Genomic DNA, 22,528 nt, shown 5'->3' on the forward strand with positions numbered 1-22,528 from the left:
AGGCAGAAGATTCCCATTTGGCAGGAGCCCAAACAAACTGAGAAAATGTATCTATACATATATGTACATAAGCCAATTTACCAAAGGAAGGAACATAAGTGATATCCATTTGCCAAAGAGAATTAAGTTCCAATCCTCGAGGATTAATTCCTCTTGTAAAAGATGAGGAATGCACCATTTGGCAAGTTGGGCATCACTGGATAATAGCTTTAGCTCATTTCTGGGTTATGCTGTATCTGTGTTTGAGACCAGAGGTGTTAACATGGGTTAAATTGTGAAAGTGTTTAGCATTAGATAATGCAGTAGCAACTAGACAATCAGCCATTTGAGTCGCTGCAGTCAAAGGTCCTGGAAGAGATATATGAGCCCTAATGTGAGTGATGTAAATAGGGTACATTGTACTCCTAACTGCTGTTTGCAATTGGGTAAGTAAAGTCATCAGTTGCTCATCTGTGTAGAATCGTAGCTGAGCATTTTCAACTAACTGTGTAGAATGAACCACATATGAAGAATCAGAAATTACATCAACAGACATCTCAAAAGCAGTCAGCACCTCAATTACAGCTACCAGCTCCGCTTTTTGAGCTGAAGTATAGGATGTCTGGAAAACTTTGCTTTTTGATCCAGAATAAGAAGCTTTACCATTACTAGATTCATCTGTAAAAACATTTTCAGCACCTTCAATTGGTTTAAATTTAGTTATTCTAGGGAGAATCCAATGAGTTAATTTCAAATATGGAAATAATTTTGTTTTCAGAAAGTGATTATCAAGAACACCTATGAAATCAGCTAAATGGGCTTGCCAAGTAAGACTATTTATAAAGGCCTGTTGTATTTGTGCCTTCGTAAGAGGGACAATAATTTTTCCATGGTCATATTCATGTAATTTAACAATTTGAGTTCTCCCATTTCCTATCAGAGTAGCAATTTGATCCAAATAAGGAGTTAGAGTCTGTGAATTAGTATGTGGATGAAAACGCCATTCTACCAAGTCCTGCTCTTGAACAATAACACCAGTAGGTGAATGCTGAGTTGGAAAAATCAATAAGTCTAAAGTCTTTTCTGGATCTATTCTATTTATTTGAGCTTTATGCACTTGCTTCTCAATCAGCTGTAACTCTGCCTGAGCCTCCTTTAATTGCTGAGGGCTAGTGAGACTAGGATCTCCTATAAGGATAGAAAATAGATTACTTATGGCATAGGTAGGAATGCCTAGAGCAGATTGTATCCAATTAATGTCCCCTAGTAATTTTTGAAAGTCATTTAATGTTTTCAGTTGATCCCTATGTATGGTTACTTTCTGTGGCACAATGGTAGTGCCATTTACTAAGGTCCCCAAGTAGGAGTAAGGGGTAGTAGTCTGAATTTTGTCAAGAGCTATAATTAAATTGGCATGAGAAATCGAGTTTTGCAAGTGATCATAACATTAGAGTAATATTTCCCGAGTGGGGGCAGCACAAAGAATATTATCTATATAACGAATAATGTAACAATTTGAAAATTTTTTATGAGTAGGTTCAATTGCTTGTCCTACATAAGTCTGACAAATTGTTGGACTGTTTAACATGCCTTGTGGCAACATTTTCCAATGAAAATGCTTATCAGATTGCAGGTTGTTTACCGCAGGAATTGTAAATGCAAACCGTTCATAGTCTTGCTCAGCTAAGGGATAGTAAAGAAACAGTCTTTTAAATCCATGACTATTAAAGGCCAATTTTTTGGAATCATAGCAGGAGAAGGCAATCCTGGCTGCAAAGCGCCCATAGATTGTATAACTGAATTAATGGCTCTAAGATCTGTCAACATTCTCCATTTACCTGATTTTTTTTTTTTTAAATAACAAAGACTGGAGAATCCCAGGGGGAAAATGTTGGAGCTATGTGTCCTTTTTCTAATTGTTCAGTAACTAAGTCCTCTAAAGCCTCCAGTTTCTCTTTACTCAGCGGCCATTGTTCTGTCCAAATTGGCTTATCTGTTAACCATTTTAAAGATATAGGTTCTGGAGGCTTAACAATGGCTGCCATCAAAAATGATATCCTACACCTTGATGAGGATTCTGTCCTTCTGCTTGAAGTGGTTTCTTTAACCCTTGTAAATTTTTTCCTAATCCCATACCAGGGACATACCCCATTTCATGCATCATATGTTGACTTTGAGGGCTATATAGTTGTTCTGGAATTAACGCTTGTGCTCCCCATTGCTGTAATAAATCTCTTCCCCATAAATTTATAGGTACAGAAGTTATAATTGGTTGAATAGTTCCAGGTTGTCCATCGGGCCCTTCACAATGCAAAATATAACTGCTTTGATATACTTCAGGGGCTTTACCAACTCCAACTATGTTAAATCGAACGGGTGGAATTGGCCACATGGATGGCCAGTGCTGTAGAGAAATGATTGAAATGTCTGCTCCTGTATCTACCAATGCTTTAATTTTTTTCCCTGAATAGTTATTTCACAGGTAGGACGTTTATCAGTAATTTGATTCACCCAATAAGCTGCTTTGCCTTGTTTATTAGTGCTTCCAAATCCTCCTGTTTGTTTAGTTTCACTTTTCCCCATTTCCACATATGGCACAATCAGGAGCTGTGATATGCGCTCTCCTGGCCCTGCTTTCCAGGGAACAGAAGTAGATATAACAATTTGAATTTCCCCATTGTAATCTGAATCAATGACTCCTGTTTGCACTTGTACCCCTTTTAAATTTAAACTAGACCTGCTTAGAAGTAATCCTACTGTCCCTGCTGGCAAGGGTCCACAGACTCCTGTTGGCACTTTTTGAGGAGGTTCCCCAGGCAGAAGGCTCACAGCTTTTGTACAGCATAAATCTACTGCAGCACTACCAGTTGTGGTGGGGGACAGGCATTGTACAGGGGTGAGGGAATGGCCTGAGCTGGGAATGCCCCAGTTTGAACCGGGGCCTGGGACAGGCCCCTCATGGCATTTCCTGAAATTGGGTTCCCATCTTTATCAAACTTACAGTGACACTGATTAGCCTAGTGTTTTCCTTTTCTACATTTTGGACATATTTCAGACTCAGCAGTTTTCTTTTTTCCCCCAACTGGCGGCCTGACTTGCTGATTTTTTCTACATTCTTTTTTGGTATGACCATGCTTCCCACAGTTAAAACAAGCTCCAGGAAATGGGGTATTTCCTTTACCCACCCTCAGTCCTGCCATTGCCTGGGCTAGCAGAGTAGCCTTAATGCAGATTACCTCCAAAACCATCACAAGCTTTAATATAGTCAACTAAATGTGCTTTTGCTGTAATAGGTCGCAGAGTGGCTTGGCACTCAGGATTGGCATTGTCGAAAGCTAATAACCGCAACACTATATGCTGAGCAGCTGAATCTGCAATCACCTTTTTAAGAGACTCCTGTAACTGAGCTATAAAATCCGCATACGGTTCTTTTGGTCCCTGTTTGACAGCACTAGAGGAAGGGTATTGTTCTCCTCCTGAAGTGATTTTTTTCCCAAGCTCTAATGCACACTGCTCTAAGCTGCTCTATGGCATCATCCTGCATGACCACTTGTGCATCTAAACCAGCCCAGCCGCTGACCCCCAAAAGTTGGTCTGCAGTTATATTAATTTGAGGTTGGGCCTGGACATTGTGAGCAGCCTGAGTGGAACCTTCCTCTGCCCACCAAGTTTTAAATTGTAAGAACTGAGCAGGAGTTAGACAAGCTCAAGTAAGAGCACCCCAGTCAGTAGGAGTCATCTGACTGAAGACAGCAACATTCTTTAACAGTCTCATTACAAAAGGAGAACCTGGTCCATATTGATTAATAGCTTGTTTAAATTATTTAAGTATTTTAAAAGGAAAAGGCTCAAATGTAGCTATAATATTCCCCTGTTGATCAGGTCTATGTATTCTAACAGGGAACTGTCAAGCATCTATATCACCCTCTCGTCTAGCTTGCTGGATTCCTGCCTGAATAGAACTGAGAGTGGTCGCTTGAGGCGCTGCTCGAACAGTCACTAGGGCAACTACTTGTTGCCCAGTGTCCTCTGGAAAAGAAAGATCTGGAGGGTCAGGCCACTCCTTTTCTTCAAAATAATGAGGGTGTGCAGAGGAGTAGGGACAAACCTCTCCCTCCTTTACCGCTTTAGTTGGCAAGCAAACCTGCTCTGGTACTTCATTATACTCTCCTTCTTCCTCTGATTCCTTCTCCTCATCATCTGTGTGGAAAGGCTCCAAGGCTGAACGAATCAGAGCCCATACTGACCAGACAGTTATAGGAATATCCTCAGCACCATCCTTATATGCCTTTTTCAGTGTGCTGCCTACATTTTCCCAGACCTCTACATTCATAGTTCCTCAGTCCAGAAACCAGGGGCAATATTTCTCTACTGCACTAAAAAGCTGTGTAAGTCAGCTAGTGATAACTTTCACTCCCCCTTTTCTGAGGAGCTTCCAAAGCAGACTCAAATAAGCCTTGTGCCTGCTCAACCCTTGTCCCATTGTTACCCTGGTGCTTCTGAGTTCCTCTTCTTACTTACCACGGAGATTGCTTAAGAGTACTTGGGTGTCCTCCAGCATAGTTCCACGTTCTCCAACCATCACTCTGGCGATGCTTCAACCCGGGTTCAGGCCCCTACGTTGGACGCCACTTACCGAGACAAGCTCGGTTGTGGAGACCCCAACCCAGTGGTGCTAGAGGAATTGAAGCCAAAGACACAGAAATAGAGTGCAAAGTGAGAATCGGGGCTAACAGCCTTCAGAGCTGACAGCCACGAACAGAGTTTGACCCACATATTTATTGACAGCAAGACAGTGATAAGCATTGCTTCTATAGATTATAGATTAACTAAAAGTATTCCTTACAGGAAACAAAGCTTTCTTAGTGAGGAGTAGAGAAACAGGCTCTGGCTGATTATCTGCAGCAAAAATATATTGTTAAGGTACAGGCTGCTCCTGCCATTATTTGTAGTTTGAGCAGTTTTCCGCTCCGGGCGGGCCAGGTGTTCCTTGCCCTGCTGCAGTAAACCAACAACTTCTAGCAGTATGTGTGATAGCCACCACGAGCTTGTCACATTGCTGCAGAAATCCTGTTTATGGCCAGTTTCTTTAAGGCCTGCTTATGACAGGCTTAGGGCTTGTTCCCAGCAAGGAGATGTTTTAATTTTCTCAAGCAATGAAACCACATTTGGTACAGCAGCTGCAGTTGGAATCACCACTTGGTTAAGCTTACCATAATCCACTCTCATTCTCCAAGATCCATCTGTCTTCTGTACAGGACAAATAGGAGAGTTGAATGGGGATGTGTTGGGAATCACCACCCCTGCGACTTTCAAGTCCTTGATGGTGGCACTAATCTCCACAATCCCTACAGCGATGCGTTACTGTTTTTGTTTTACTATTTTTCCAGGTAGAAGCTCTAAAGCCTTCCATTTGGCCTTTCCAACTATAATAGAACTTACCCTACCAGTCAGGGAGTCAATGTGGGGGCTCTGCCAGCTGCTAAGTATGTCTATGTCAATTGTGCATTCTGGCACTGGGGAAATGACCACAGGATGAGTCTGGTGACCCACTGGACCCACTGTAAGTTGGACCTGAGCTAAAACTCTATTAATTACCTGGCTTCCATGAGCACTTACTTTAACTGGAGGACCACAGTGAAGTTTGTGGACCCCTTAGAATCAACGTCAACTCAGAGCCAGTGTCCAGTAGTCCTCAAAATGTCTGAACTCTTTCCATTCTACAATGCACAGTTACCCTGGTAAAGGGCTGAAGGTCTCCTTGGGAAATGATTGGAGAAAGATTCACTGCAATAATTGTCAGTAATGTAGTGGGATCTTTCCTCAAGGGGACCCAGACTCCCCTTCATTCAAGGGGTTCTGGGTCTGTAAACAGGAACCCCAAGTCTGGAAATTGATTGAGGCCATGATTCTCTGTTTTTATAATTCAAATTACTCTTTCATCCCTTCCACCTAGAAGTTTTTTGCTTATATAAATTAAGTAGGAATGCAGTAAGCTTCCTATCAATTTCACTTCTAGGAACACCATTGTTAATTAGCCAATGCTAGAGCTCTACACAAGTCAGACTATTCTGATTGCTGTTTTGTCTCTGCTGTCTATTATGGTAGCTATGCCCACATTGGCTATGATGGTTGAGTGCTGCCTTTTGGCCCCTGGCACCTCGGGATCCATTTATTCCCATTGTATTTAAATTTTGTAGTTGAGTGACTGCAGTTCCCACTGTTAGATCTGACATACAGAAAAGAGCAATTACAGGGCACTTCAAAGATGCAGGTGCTGTCCTCACAAATCTATTTCACAAGGCATCAGTCAAGGGTATATCTCCTGGATCCTGCCAGCTGGGATGAGTAGATCTAAAGTGACTAATCCACTCCACCATCTCAATCTCCCTAAGCCTTTGGATCCCTTCCTGCATATTAAACCAAGGCAGATCAGGCATTTCCAGCTTGCTCACAGTGGGTGATCTTTTAATCCGTATTTCAGCTAACCAAGCAAATAAACTATTAGAATTTTTTTAACTCCCCAAGCTGCAACATTAAATGTGGAGTCCTAACTTAGTGGGCCCAAATTAATAAATGCAGCCTGATCCAACTCTATGTTCCTTCCAACATTATTTCACACCCTTAATATCCATTCCCATGCCTGTTCTCCAGGTTTCTGTTTATATAAATTAGAGAACTCAAGTGGGTCTTTTTGAGTATAGCACACCTCCTCATGGGTCACACTCTAACCTCACCTCTAGGGGTCCTTCAGGACTTTAGTCTAGTTATAGGTCTAGAAGCAAACAGGAGTGTTGGAAGTGGCTCCTGAGGAGAATCAACATTATCTTGCTTGGCAACTGCCTCAGAGGAGGCCACCACTGTTGCCTCAGTCAGCACAGGGTTTATCTCCTCAGACAAAGGTGAAAAAGCTGATGCCAGCACGGGTTGGAGAGGGGATGTTGCCACTACTGAGGATGGGGAAGCTGTTTCTTATGACAAAAAGGGTTCATCAGAGTTTACACTCAGTGTTCACAGCTTCAACAGGGTCCTCCTACACGTTCTTATTCCAAGTTGCAAGGTCCCATTCTTTTCTAATCAATGCCCTCACTTTAACAGTAGACACCTGGTGAGGCTATGCATGCACCCTTCATTGCAGGTCAGCCACTTGCATGATAAGAACTTGTGTCTGTTATTCCATAATTGCAGCTCTTTCCCTACTGAAGCTGGGAGATAGAATCTCTGAGTTCATCATTTTCTTTCATCACTTTGTCCACTGAACTTAGGAGCAACCAACTAACATCATTATTTCCTTGGTTCTCCACATATGGTCAAAGTTATTGTGTCACTAAATTCCTTGCCTCTCACGAGTGATGAATCAGGAGTGCCACATGCATTTATTTTGCATAACGCTCTAAACAGTTCATGTCAAGAACTATCAGTGTTCTCCCTACTATTAGACGTAAAGTCCTTAGCATTTTTGGGTCTAATCGTGTTAAGCAGCCAAGTCCAGAAACCTCCAAACCAATGAAAGAACTCCATCCTTAATATTATGTTCTTCTAGAACCACTTCTGGTACCAAAATCTATATTAGTCAGGGTTCTCTAGAGGAACAGAACTAATGGAATATATATTCCACTTTATATGTATATGTACATTTCTATATATATCTCATACATATGTAACCCATGTATATGGGAGTTTATTAAGTATTAAAGCGTACATTCACAAGGTCCCACAATAGGCAGTCTGGAGGTTGAGGAACAAAGAGAGCCAGTCTGAATTCCAAAACTGAAGAACTTGGGAGTCCAGTGTTCAAGGGCAGAAAGCATTCAGCATGGGAGAAAGATGTAGGCTAGGAGGCTAAACCAGTCTCTCTTTTCACATTTTTCTGCTTGCTTATATTCCAGCCATGCTGCCAACTGATTAGATTGTGCCCACCCAGATTAAGGGTGGTTCTGCCTTTCCCAACCTGATTCAAATGTTAATCTCCTTTGGCAACAGTCTTACAGACACACCCAGGATCAATACTTTGTATCCTTCAATCTAATCAAGTTGACACTTGGTATTAACCATCACAAATGGATAAAGAAAATGTTTTGAATATGCCCCATGGAATAATATGCAGCCACATAAAATAACGAGGTCATGTCATTTGCAGCCACATGGATGCAGTTGAAGGCCATTATTCTATGTGAATTTTTACAAAAAAAGAAAACCAAATACTGCATGTTATCACTTATAAGTGGGAGCTAAACACTGGGTACACACAGACACAAATGGAGAACAAGACATGGGACTAGAAGGGGAAGGAGTGAGGAAGAAAGGCAGGAGTTGAAAAACTACCTATTGGGTATTATACTCACTACCTGTGTGACAGGATCAGTCATATCCCAAATCTCAGCATCATGCAATGTAGCCAAGTCATAAACCTGCACGTGTACCCCTTGAATCTAAAATGAAAGATATACATAAATAAATAAATAAGGTACTTATATTTTAGGTAGACTGTAGTAACTCTAGAAAAGCAAGTGATTCTTCTAGGGGAAAAACTATACCATGCCAAATCAATTAAAAAATTATTTTAAATGGATGAAGGAGGATTTAAATGAAAAGCAGAAGGCGCCATAATTGCAGAGAAGGGAAAACAATTCTGAACTGTCAGCACTTTCTTTCCTTGGAACATATGATGTTTCTGAATACAAGTTAAATATCAGTCTTGGCCAACCCAGTTAGAGTTCCTCTATTGAGAAAAGAGAAACCTGAAGACCCCTTAGTGCCTAGAAAAGATTAGATTGATAAATTTTAAATTAAGGGATATCAAACTCAGTATCAGTTTTTCTTATGCCACATTTGTTGAGTTTACATCCTTTGAGGGAGGCTGAGGAGGCAGGGTGAAGCTCTTAAGGCAGAAATTTCTATAATCCTGTTGTACTTGGGAAACAAAGATCGAATGGAAAGAAGGCTTGTCTCAAGCACATGTGCTGCCTCCCCTTTAAAACATTTACCTGGTTTTGAATAAGCTTGGGACATAGGCTAGAGGACTGAGATTTGAAGCTCTGAGTACCAGAAATCAATCATTTACTGTATTTCAAAGCTGAGAAAATAGAGTTATTCTGGCTCTTGAGAGAAATTCTGTAGAGTATCTGAGTCTTACTAAAACTACACTTTTTTGCCTAATTTAATTTAAAATGTGCTGAAGTTGTCAGTTACTCAGCCCTTTTTCAAAACAGAAGATGGAAACTTCCTAAGTCGAAAGCAATACCACCTAAAGCTTCTACTGCTTTATTAAATAGAACATAAAGCATACAATAAAAACTGCACATAGCAAAAGCAAAAAGTTATGGACAATAACACAAAGAAAAAACAACAAAGATAGAAAAAAGAAGCCAGAAGCTAAGAGATGATCTATAGAGTCAAAAAGGTGATAACACACACACAAAAATCCCACTGTTAGAGAAAATGAAAGAAAAATGAACAAATTACATGAGGGAAGATAGATTCATTTCACCAGAAAATCTGATTCTATAGATTTCACTTGCTATGTATATATTTGATAACAAAATATGTAAAGAAATCAGTAAATCATTTGAATTATAGGCCTCATAGTTAAAAATACTGGATTAGTTAACTAGAAGAAGAGATAATGAAAAACATCTCAACTGACAGAACAAAACATTTAAAAAATAGTATAAGTAATAATTACACCATATTAAAAAGCCTAAAACCCATAAAATAGGGACCAATTTGTGGAAAACAAAGAGAATTGAATAAAAGTTATGTAAAAACATACAATGCCTGAGAATTTTCTAAAAGTATGGAATGATATCATCCCATTCAAGCAGCTCACTGAATTCCAACAGGATAAACACAAAGAAAACACACCTGGTCATAGTAAGACTGTTGAAAACCAGAGACACCGAGAAATCTTATAAACAGCCATAGAAAGAAGGCCTATATTTTAAAAGACAGCATGATAAGATTGATGGGTGGCCTCAAAAAATGAAGTGCAGAAGACAACGGAATAAAAATTGTATGCCATAAATATAAACTATTGACCTAGTTACTTGTTCTTCAGGTAGAGTAAGTAACTAGGTCAGCAGTTATATTTAAGAGCAAGACATCATCAGGAAATGTGAATGTGAAGATGGCAATGAAGTACACAAGGTAGAGTAAATTTGTGGGTATATATAATAAAAATTAACTGCAAAAATCAATATTAATAATATCTTATAGATTCTAAAACATATGCAAAACAAAAATGCAAAATACCACAAAAGTTGGGAGGCATGTAAGTACACAAAAGGTTCTAAGTTTCCAGTAGTAATAAGAAATGGTGAATTAATGATATATATTATATTATATTATATTAATGTGAGGATGCATGATTCAATTTCTAGTGGGACCATTAAAATAATAAAAAATATAAATATAAGACACAGAAAAATTATAATAAATATTTGATGACTATAAATACAGGCAAGAAAGAAGGGAAGCAAACAAGACATTTGTAAAAATAAGCAAACATAACTGGTAGATATAAGACCTATGTAAAATAGACTAAATAAAGCAAACAATTTTGAGATATTTCACAATGAAATAAGTGTGCTAGCATTTTGCTGCTTATAAGACATGTAATTTTAAAATAACAACACAGAGCATGAAAGTGTGTGAAAATTTTTATGCCTTGCAAATTTTAACCATAAGAAGATGGAATTCTACTAATATTAGATAATTAAGGATTTATGGAAAGAAGCAAGAATAGAAATAAGAAAATATGTTGCAACATATCATTCCCCCTCATCCAGTTTCACTTTCTGTGGTTTTGCTTTCTGTGATTTCAGTTACCCACCGTTAACCAAGTGAAGAAAGATGAGTACATTGTAAGAAGATATTTTGTGAGAGAGAGGGAAAGAGACCACAGTCACATAATTTTTATTGCAGCATATTGTTAAAATGTTCTATTTTATTATTAGTTGTTATTGTTAATCTGTCAGTGTGATAACTTATAAATTAAAACAATCATACATACAGGGAAAAAACATAGTATATACAGGGGTCCATACTTTCCCCAATTCAGGCACCCACTGGGGCTTTTGGAACATATCCCATGTGGATAAACTGGGTCTACTGTATTTATCTGCAAACATAACTTTAACATATATGGGGAAAATTTGAAAATAGACAAATTCACAATCATAGAGATTAACCCACTTCCTCAACAGTGGTTGAAGAAGCAGAGAAAAATCTCTTAAGAAGAGAAGATCTTCAATATATAATTGTAAACTTGATCATCTTATATGTATAGTACAAAAAGACTTCAAAATGTTCACGGAAAATGGAATAAAAAGATAAAAAGTATAAACTTTATTTCTCAACATAAGCTCTATCAAGGTCAAGACAGTTTTGTAAGTGATGATAGCAGCCATGTAGTCCATCCCTGAAGAACAGAAGGTCCTGAGATTTTAACCATGTCAAGGCAATCTTTTTTACATTATTAACTGAAGGAAAAATAGGTGTCCTTTAAATATTTTGTTAAGATTAGGAAACAAAAACAAGTCAGAAGAAGTCATATCAGGACTATAAGGTAGATGCCTAACTTTCTTACTGAAACTGTCAGAAAATTGCTCTTGTTTGATAAGATGAGTAAAAGCACTGTCATGGTGGAGAAGGACTCTCTGGTGAAGTTCTTCTGGATGTTGTTTTCTGCTAAAGTCTTGGCTAACACTCTCATAATAAGCAGATGTTATTGTTCTTTGGCCCTACAGAAGGTCAACAAGGAAAATGACTTGAGTAACCCAAAAAAACTGTTGCCATGGCCTTTGCTCTTGACCAATCTGCTTTTGCTTTGACAGGATCACTTCCACTTCTTGGTAGCCAGTGATTTGTGCTTTGTCTTCAGGATCACACTGGTAAAACTGTTCATCTTCTGTTACAATTCTTCAAAAAAATGCTTCAGGTTCTTCATTCCTTTTGTTTAAAATTTCCATTGGAATTTCTGCTCTTGTCTGCAGCTCATCTGGGTGCAATGGTTTTGGCAGCCATTGACTGGAGTGTAAAATTTCCTCAGTTTTAATGTTTGAGTCAGATTTGCATAAGGTGCACCAAACGAGACATCTATAGTGCTCGTCATTTTTTCTGCTGTTAATCATTGGTACTTTTCAATTAGGGCATGGACAAGATGAGTTTTTTTTTTTTTTTTTTTTTTCCATGCAAACTGATGTGGATGGTCTGCTGCTGTGGGCTTCATCTGCAATATCATCTTTTCCCTTCTTAAAATACATTTGTCCACTTGTAAACTGCTGATTTATTTGAGACATCATCCCCATAAACTTTTCACAAAGCATCAATTATTTCACCGTTTTTACACTCAAGCTTCACAATAAATTGGAAGTTTGTTCTTGCTTTAATTTTATCAGAATTCATGTTGCTCTGATAGAGGCTCTTTTCATACCGATGTCTTAGTGCTTGAAACTAGATCCTCTTAAGGCATGTTCTAACAAGTTAATATGAGTGTATTTTGGTGCAAAAAATCTTGAAATCCATGTGTAGTTTTTTCAAAATACACATTTTAATGAACTTTTTGAAGACCCTTAACATGTGTGTGTGTTCACAGTTGTGAACTTGATTATATGTAATATATCAGTGTGCCCCAAACTGACAAAACTCACTTTAGTTCAACTTCATATGGTCTGTTTAATGCAATAAACAATGTATTTAGCCAAAATATGTCTCAATAAGTTTTGTAAGTTTGAAATGATGAACAATGTTTTTTCTATCTACAATAAGATTAAGTGGTAAGTCAACAGCATTAAAGATAATGCTTCCAATTCCTTGGAAATGACAGATTCCATTTCTAATTAATGTATAGGTAAAGAAGAAATCAGAATGGAAACCATAATTTTTTAACTAAGGTATAAGTATGCACAACATATGGAAACACCATAGGATTAAACTAAAGCAGTGGTTTAAGGAAAATGTATAGCCATATATATACTTTAAAAAAATACTGAAAAAATACCAATGATTTAACTTTTCTTGTCGAGAAGTCAGGAAAATAACATATTAAGTCTGAGAAAATTAGAAATATAGCCATAATAAAACTAGGAGAAGAAACAACAAAATATGAAACAAATGCAAAATATTGAAAATAAATGAAAGCAAAATTTAATCAAATACACTTTGAAACATAAAAGTTTAAAAACTTATGAAAACATGAGCTAAAACAATAGCAGAAATGAAAAGAGAACACCATAACACAGCCTATACAATTTTTGGAAGGAACAACATTTAGCAAATAAATTTGACAATTTTGATAAAGAAGTTTATTGAACAAACCAAGATACTAGCCGACATTAACAATAAACGTTAAAGACACTAAAGAATGAGCATTACAAAGAATTAGCCAGTCTCAGGTAAGTGAATTTTTCCAAAAATAAAGAAATGTGCATCATTTTTAAAAACTTTTATTTTAATGTCCAGGGCAAAAATGCAGATTTGTTACACAGGTAAACTTGTGTTACGGGGGTTTGTTGTACAGATTATTTCATCACCCAGGTATTAAGCCTAGTACCTATTAGTTGTTTTTCCTGATCTTCTCTCTCTTCCCTCCCTTCATCCTCAAGTCGTCCCCAGTGTCTGTTGTTCCCCTCCTTGTGTCCATGTGTTTTCATCATTTTGCTCCTACTTATAAATGAGAACATGCAGTATTTGGTTTTCTGTTCCTGTGTTAGTTGCAAAGGGTAATGGCCTCCAGCTCCAACCATGGCCCTGCAAAGGACATGATCTCATTTTTTTTAATGGCTTCATAGTATTCCATAATGCATATGCACTGCATTTTCTTTATCCAATCTATCATTGATGGGCATTTGGGTTGATTCCATGTCTTGCTATTGTGAATATTGCTGCAATGAGGATACATGTGCATGTATCTTTGTAATAGGATAATTATATTCCTTTGGGAATATACCCAGTAACGGGACTGCTGGGTCAAATGGTATTTCTGTCTTTAGGTCTTTCAAGAATCGCCACACTGCCTTCCACAATAGCTGAACTAACTTACACTCCCACCAACAGTGTATAAGCATTCCTTTTCCTCCATAACCTTGTCAGTATCCGTTATTTTCTGACCTTTCAAATAATAGCCATTCTGACTGGCATGAGATGGTGACTCATTGTGGTTTTAACTTGTATTTCTGTAATGATCAGTGACGTTGAGCTTTTTTTCATATGCTTGTTGGCCACATGTATGTCATCTTTTGAAGTGTCTGTTCATGTCCTTTGCACACTTTTTTATGTTTTTTTCTTGTAAATTTATTTAAGTTCCTTATAGGTGCTGTATAGCAGACCTTCATCAGGTGCATAGTTTGCAAAACATTTCTCACATTCTGTAGGCTGTCTGTTTGTTCTGTTGATACTTTCTTTTTGCTGTGCAGAAGCTCTTTAGTTTAATTAGATTCCATTTGTCAATTTTTACTTTTGTTGCAGTTGCTTTTGGCATCTTCATCATGAAATCTTTGCCTGTGTCTATGTGCTGAATGGTATTGATTAAGCTGTCTTCCGAGGTTTTTATAGTTTTGGGTCTTACATTTACGTACTTAATCCATCTGAAGTTAATTTTTGTATATGGTGTAAGGAAGGGATCCAGTTTCAACCTTCTGCATATGGCTAGCCAGTTTCTCCCAGCACCATTTATTGAATAGGGAATCCTGCCAAAGATCAAATAGTTGTAAGTGCATGGTCTTACTACTGAGTTCTCTATTCTGTTCCATTGGTCTATGTGTCTGTTTTTATACTAGTTCATGGTGTTTAGGTTACTGTAGTATAGTTTGTGGTCAGGTAGTGTGATGCCTCCAGGTTTGTTCTTTTTGCTTAGGATTGCCTTGACTATTCGGGCTCTTTTTATTTTTGGCTCTATATGAATTTTAAAATAGTTTTCTCTAGTTCTGTGAAGAATGTCAATAGTAGTTTAATAGGAATAATACTATTTTTAAAAGCACCCCAAACCCAAAGTACTTAGGTAGAAATCTTAAAAATATAAATATATTCAGAATCTATATGCAGAAATAAACCAAATGTTGATTACTGAAATCAAATATCTAAGCACATAGAGATATAGTTCATATTCATTGATCATAAGATTCACTATTGTTAAAATGTCAGTTCTTCCCAACATGATCTACAGATTCATTGTTTTCTCAGCCAAAAATCACATCAAGGTTTCTAGAGATACAAACTGATCCTAAGGAGTACTCAGAAAATAAAAAACCTAAACAACCACCAAACATACTTGTATTACTGAAGTCAGAATTACTTATTTTAATATTATATATCATTAATAAATTTTTTGTTATAGTTAATATTTTTGTCTAACTTTTATATTAGAGTTAACATTAATTTATGCACCAACATTAGTGTCACTACTGTGTGTCTATATATTACATTTACTGGTAAAATACCCTTTTATATGCAAAATCATTAGCATAATTTTGTTCCCATTTTAAAAACTCTCAAGTTTTTCTCGTAAGGAAGGTCTGGTAACGATTCTGTCGGTGTTTGTTTGGCAGAAGATTTTACCTCTCCTTCATTTTAAAAGATTGTTTTGCTGGGTATAGTGTTTATGATTGGCAGTTTGTTTCTTTTCATTAAGTACTTTGTATAGATTATCCCACTCTCTCTTGAACTGCAAGATTTCTCCTGAGAAATCAGTTGATAATCTCACAGAGGTTTGCATATTACAAATTGCTTTTCTCTTGCTACTTTCAAAATTCTGTCTGCTTTTGACTTTTGCCAACTTAATTGTAATGTGTCTTGGTGTAAACATTTTTATGTTCAACATATGTGGAATCATTTGGGCTTCTTGGATCTTTGATCTTCTAAGATGTCCGTTTTCTTCTCCAGATTAGGTAAGTTTTCAGTCATTATTTATTTTAATAAACTTCCTGCCCCTTTGTATTCTCTGGGTAAACTTCTATTATGCATATATTGCATCACTTAATAATGTCACATAACTCCACTTCCTTCTCCTTTCTATTCTCTGGGGAAACTTCTATTATGCATATATTGCTTCACTTGATAATGGCACATATATCCCATAGGCTTTCTTCACTATTTTTCATTCTTTTCTTCTCTTTTCTCTTCTGACTATATAATGTCAAATGACGTTGCTTTTAGTTCACTATTTTTTTCTTCTGCTTGACTGAGTCTACTGTTGAAACTCTTTATTGCACTTTCTATTACAGCACGTGTGTGTGTGTGTGTGTGTGTGTGTGTGTGTGTGTGTGTGTGTTGAGAAAGGGTCTTGCTCTGTTACCCAGGCTGGAATGCAGTGGTATAATCATGGCTCATTGCAGCCATGACCTCCTGGATTCAAGCGATCCTCCAACCTCAGCCTCCTGAGTAGCTGGAAACACAGGTATGCACTGCCATGCCCACCTAATTTTTTAAAAAATTTGGTAGAGACAGAGTCTCACTATGTTTCCCAGGCTATTAACTGTATGAACTCCAAAAACGGGCTCTTTTATGATTTTTAACTCTTTTTTAAACCTCTAATTTTGTTTATGTGTTGTTGTGTTGAAATTGCTGATTTGTCTTTTTGTGTTATAGCTTGCTGAGCTTCTTTAAAGCAATAATTTTGAATTATTTTTGGCAACTCAGATCTCCATTTCTTTATGGTTTATTAGCAGAAATTTGTGTTCCTTTGGTATTGTATGAATACTTTTTTGTGTTCCTTGTAGCCTTGTCTTAGTGTTTGATCATCTGAAGAAGGTGGCTCCTCTTCCAGACTTTACAGACTAGCTTTAGCAGAAAAAAGCCTTAACCTGTAAAAAGGCTTGAGGGCAACAACTTTATGGGTTTTGTGGTGGTTCCAGGTGCAGAGGGGCATGACAATGCTGGTCCTGTGGGAGAACATGGGAGCTATTTCCAGGGGTTGCACAGAGATGTCAGTTGGCGGGGTTGGGTTAAGGCCCAGGGCTATGAAAACAGGGAGGTATTATGGCATAGGCTCCACATGGCTCCAGCAGAATCTAGTCGGAGACAGTCTCAGACGGAGATGAAGAACTTGTTGGGAACTGGAGCAAAGGTGACCCTTTTTATGTTTTAGCAAAGAGACTGGTGGCATTTTATTCCTACCCTTCAGAATTGTGGAACTTTGAACTTGGAAAAGATCATTTAGGGTATCCAGCAGAAGAAATTTCTTAGCAGCAAAGTGTTCAAGAGCTGACTTGGGTGCTGTTACAGGCATTCAGTTTTAAAAGGGAAGCAGAGCATAAAAGTTTGGAGAGTTTGCACCCTGACAATGTGATAAAAAAGGAAATCCCATTTTCTGAGGAAAAATTTAAGCTGACTGCAGAAATTTGCATAACAAGGAGCTGAATCTTAATCACCAAAACAACAAGAAAAATGTCTCCAGGGCATGTTAGAGACCTACACAGCAGCCCCTCCCATCACAGGCCCAGAGGACTAAGAGAAAAAAATGGCATCATTGGTTGGGCCTAGAGTCCCTCTGCTGTTTGCAGTATAAGCATTTGGTGCTCTGCTTCCCATCTGCTCCAGCCATGGCTAAAAGGGGTGAAAGTAGAGCTCAGGCCATGGCTTACAGGCAACAAAATGAAGAAAAGATAGCCTTTCCAACAAATGGTGCTGAAAAAAAATATATACATGCCAAAAATGAATCTAGATGTAGACCACACACTTTTCACAGAAATAAACTCAAAATTGATCATATAGCTAAATGTAAAATAAAAAATTATACAACTAATACATAAGGTAGGAGAAAATCTAGATAAATTTGAGCTTGATTATAACTTTTTAGATATAACAGCAAGGACACAATTCTTGAAAGAAAGAATTGATAGCTGGACTTCATTAAAAGTAAAAATTTCTTCTTTTATAAATGCACTGTCAAGAGAATGAAAAGAGAAGACAGAATGGGATAAAATATTTTCAAAAGATGTTTCTGACAAAGTATCGTTATTAAAAAATAGAGAAATAACTCTTAAAACTCAAAAATAAGAAAACAATTGATTAAAAATATGCCAAAGACTTTAGCAGACAACTGATGAAGAAGATATACAGATGGCAAACAAACATGTATGAAAAGATGTTCCACATACTATATCATCAGTGAAACGTAAATTAATACAACAGTAACATACCATATTACATATTACGATGGCCGAAATCTGAAATGCTGATGACATCAAATGTTAGTGATGGTGTAGAGCATGATAGACTCTCATTGATTTTTGGTTAAATTCATAATATTAAAAAACTATTGCAATACATTTGTCAGTTTCTTAAAAATGTAAGCTTATTCTTCCATATGATCAGCAAGTGCACTCCTTAGAATTTATTCAAAGGAGGTGAAAGCTTATGTCCAAACAAACATCTGCATGTGGATATTATATCAGTTTTATTCATAATTGCCAAAACTTAGAAGATGTCCCTAAGTAGGTGAACAGCTAAATAAGGTGTAGCATATCCAGACAATGTAGTATTATTCAGCTATTAAAAGAATGAAATATGGCCTGGCGCGGTGGCTCATGCCTGTAATCCCAGCACTTTGGGAGGCAGAGGCGGGCGGATCATGAGGTCAGGAGATCGAGACCATCCTGGCTAACACAGTGAAACCCCGCCTCTACTAAAAATACAAAAAATTAGCCGGGCGTGGTGGCGGGCGCCTGTAATCCCAGCTACTCGGGAGGCTGAGGCAGGAGAATGGCGTGAATCCGGGAGGCGGAGCTTGCAGTAAGCCGAGATCGCGCCACTGCACTCCAGCCTGGGCGACAGAGCGAGACTCCGTCTCAAAAAAAAAAAAAAAAAAAGAATGAAATATCAAGCTACACAAAAATACGTGAAGGAAATTTAAATGCATAAGATTTTTATGAAACTTAAATGCATAATCCTTTGCTAAGTAAAGGAACCAATTTTGAAAAGATCACATACTGTTTTAATGCAAATACAACAGCTAAAATTGAAAAAAACTATGGAGACATTGAAAGGGTCAGTGGTTTTCAGGTGTTGGTGGGGAAGGAGGAATAAACAGAACAGCACAGAGGATTTTTAGAGCTGCGAAAGGACTTTCTGTAATACTACAATGTTGGATATATGTCATTATGTATTTGTCCAAACCCATAGAATGTACATCAAGAGTGAACCCTAATATAAATGATGATTTTGGGGTGATAATGTGTCAATATAGATTCATCAATTGTAACAAATATACCACTTTGGAGAGAAATGTTGATAAGATGTGTGCATGTATGTGAGAAGGAGCTATTTGGATTATCTCTCTACCTTCCCCTCAATTGTGCTGAGAACCTAAAACTGCTCCAAATATTATAGTCTATTAAAAAAATTCAACACCAAATTTGAATTGTTGAAGCCAGAGTATGGACTTAAGTAGTTTGTGTTTATGACATATGTTATCTATATATTCCTTATACAAACATACATGCCACTTTCTCATGTGAAATAGTATATCTTCCTCCTCTTCATCACCTTCTCAACCACACTTGGATCTGACCTGGCTTTCCTCCTTGCTTGAGTAATATAACTTGGCAAATTTGACATTCTGGTACTTCTGAAGCTAAATCATAAGAAGACTTTCAAGTGTCTGGCTAGACCAACCAGAATGTTTGCTCCTGGAACACGGTAATGTAAGGAGAAACTGCTACAGAGGTATTATGTAGCCTCTCTAATACACAGGCCCAACCAAACCCAGACTTCTGGCCATCTTGCTCAAGTCATAGACTGAATAAAAGTACCTCAGACCCTCAACATCAGCCAAACTACCAGCTGAATACCACCAGATGAACATTGGTTGACATCACATATGAAAAACTTGCCCAGCCAAACTCTGCCGGAATTCCTGGCCTATAAATTTGTGAGAAATCATAACATAAATTTTGTTATAAGTCACTAAGTTAGACTAATTTTTTATAGGAAAATAAGTAACCTGTAACATATTTTGTTCAGTAATCTTTCCTCTGGGCAAACTTCTCTTTGTTTACCCACCCAGAGACAGAGAAGTCTCCAGTTCTACTTTAATATATAAACATTTCAAGAAAAGGAGCCTCTGTGGCGTATCTTGGAGGTAATCAATATGAATTTTATCTGAGTATTAACAAAAAATGAAAAGAGCTTTGTTGAAAATGCTTCTGCTTCATAGTGATGTCTTAGGGATTGGAACCTTCCTGTTACAAAAATAAACAAACAAAAAATCCCCAACTCTGTAAGCTATTTTGTGTCTAAGCATGGAGGTATACTCCCTTGATTGTTGGCCAAAATATCCCTAAGATTCGCTCCACCAAAATATACTCTCGGTTTCTGACTAGACAATTATATATGTCTTTGAGTTATTTTTGACATGTATCAGGAGGTTTCACTGAGATACTTAAAATAAAAGGTGCTGTTGAAACAAATACTTGACACTCCTAGAACATTTAAGCATTTAGCTCATTATCCTTAATTCCTTCTAAAAGTGCTAAGTGTTTCTTATAAAATAATATTTTTGGTCTGATTTTGATTTACACACTGATAATTATGTCTTCCTTAATCAGCATGTGTTCTGGTTTTTAATTTCATGGTATATTCATTTAAAGATTTCTGTTAGGTGACAGTCTATTTTCTTTCAAGTGGCAGAGGACTACAAATTTGGATTTTTCTTATTTACTTTATTAGTTGGATTCCAAAGTTTAATGATATCCAAAGTTTTAGAATTGATTAGTTTATTCACTTTCCAATTATAGAGCCATCTGTCTTTGTCTGGTGTTACATGAAACTATGATTTTTTTAATCCCCAAAATGGTTGTTTTCTTTATACCTCTCAAATCCACCCATTTTGTCTTTAATAATTATGGCACCAGATAGTTAACAACATCCACAGAATTGGAATTCCTACACCAAAGATGATGTTTGTATAAAAATGTCCCCATATGTGAAATTTTGAATCTCTTATAATGATATTCTTTTGAATTGTGTGTCAGAAGAAACAAAATTCCAGCAGAAGGTGTTCAGCTTTTTTAAAAATTAACATGCAAAGCAACTATTGGGTAGCACTATTATCTCTTCAAACCTCTTTAAATAATACTACAGAAAGCAGAGAAAGGGAACCTATTTTCTAAAATGGACAATAGTTATTGATGTATTAAAAAATTATCCCAAATCTAGTGACTTAAAATAACACATATTTATCTCAGAATTTCAGTGAATCAGGCATCTGACCACAGCTTAGTTAGATCTTTTACTCAGGGATCTCACAAGTCTGTAATGAAGAGGTTGGCCAGACTGTGTTCTCATCTGGAGGCTCAACTGAGATTGAATCCATTTCCAAGCTCATTCAGTCTTAGAACAATTCATTTTCTTGCAACTTTATGTCTGACAGTCCTGGCTTATTACTGTCCGTTGGCTGGGAGCCTCTCACTGTGTTCTCTGCCAACTGGAAAAATAACTATCCTTGCTGGATTCATAAGGACTTTTATAAACTTTCATATTTTACCAGTAACACTCCTAACACTCCACTGAAGGATCCAGTAGTGTTAATTATACTGTTATTTTGTTCTTTAGTCAATATTCTAAATAAAAAACAATATTTTTTGTTCCACTTTTAAGGCTTGCTACTTTATAACAACTTGCCCAAGGTTAATTAAAAATTTTGTTTGGGGAGTACAAGCTAATTTTTTTGAAAAACGTATTTGCATAACTTTTCTATTTCTGGAGTAAATTAATACATTTAACTATGTGATTTCCTGTAATTTCAGGAAGATAACTGTTTTGCCTGGCTTATAGAAACTATAAGCCCTATATTTATAGATTTAAATAAAGGAAACTCAAGGATTTCTAGGAAAAGTCTTCCAGTTATATTTTATGCTACTCCTATAACTCCAGCAGAGAAAGCTGCTTAAGCTTTCATAATGCTACTGGCCTTTGTTACTGAATTATAAAATAAGAAGCAAATAACTAATGGGAAGTTTACTTATTCTAAGTAACATAAAATAAAATATTTCAGAGGTAATTTTACTTTACGAGTTAATGCAACCTTCCTGATCAAGATAATAAATGGAAAAATTGTACCTGTTAAATAGCTGGATTATAAAACTATATTCACTCACTCTCTCTCTCATTTTATCTACATATAGAAATAAAATTAACATGATATTCTAGCTGATTCAAATTTTGTTTTTCTCTTCACTTTAACATCTAATAAATTTAGTTATCTTATTCACATAAGGATTTTTTTTTCTTTTTTTCCTTATTGTGATAATACTTAATCTGAGATCAACCTATGCTCTTCACGAGTTAAGGGCACAATACAGTATTTACCATAGGCATAATGTTGTATACCTAATCTCTGGAACTTATTCACCTTGCATAACCGAAACAATGAACAGTGAGTCTCCATTTCCTTCTCCCCCTACCTCCTAACAACTACCAATCTACCCTCTGTGTCTGAGTTTGACTAATTTAAATAACTGAAATATCATGCAATATTTGTCATTCTGAGACTGGCTAATTTTGCTTAGCATAATGTTCACACGTTTTGTCCATGTTGTTACATATTATGGAA

Source organism: Homo sapiens, chromosome 4 (assembly GCF_000001405.40).
Source record: "Homo sapiens chromosome 4, GRCh38.p14 Primary Assembly".
NCBI lineage: Eukaryota > Metazoa > Chordata > Mammalia > Primates > Hominidae > Homo > Homo sapiens.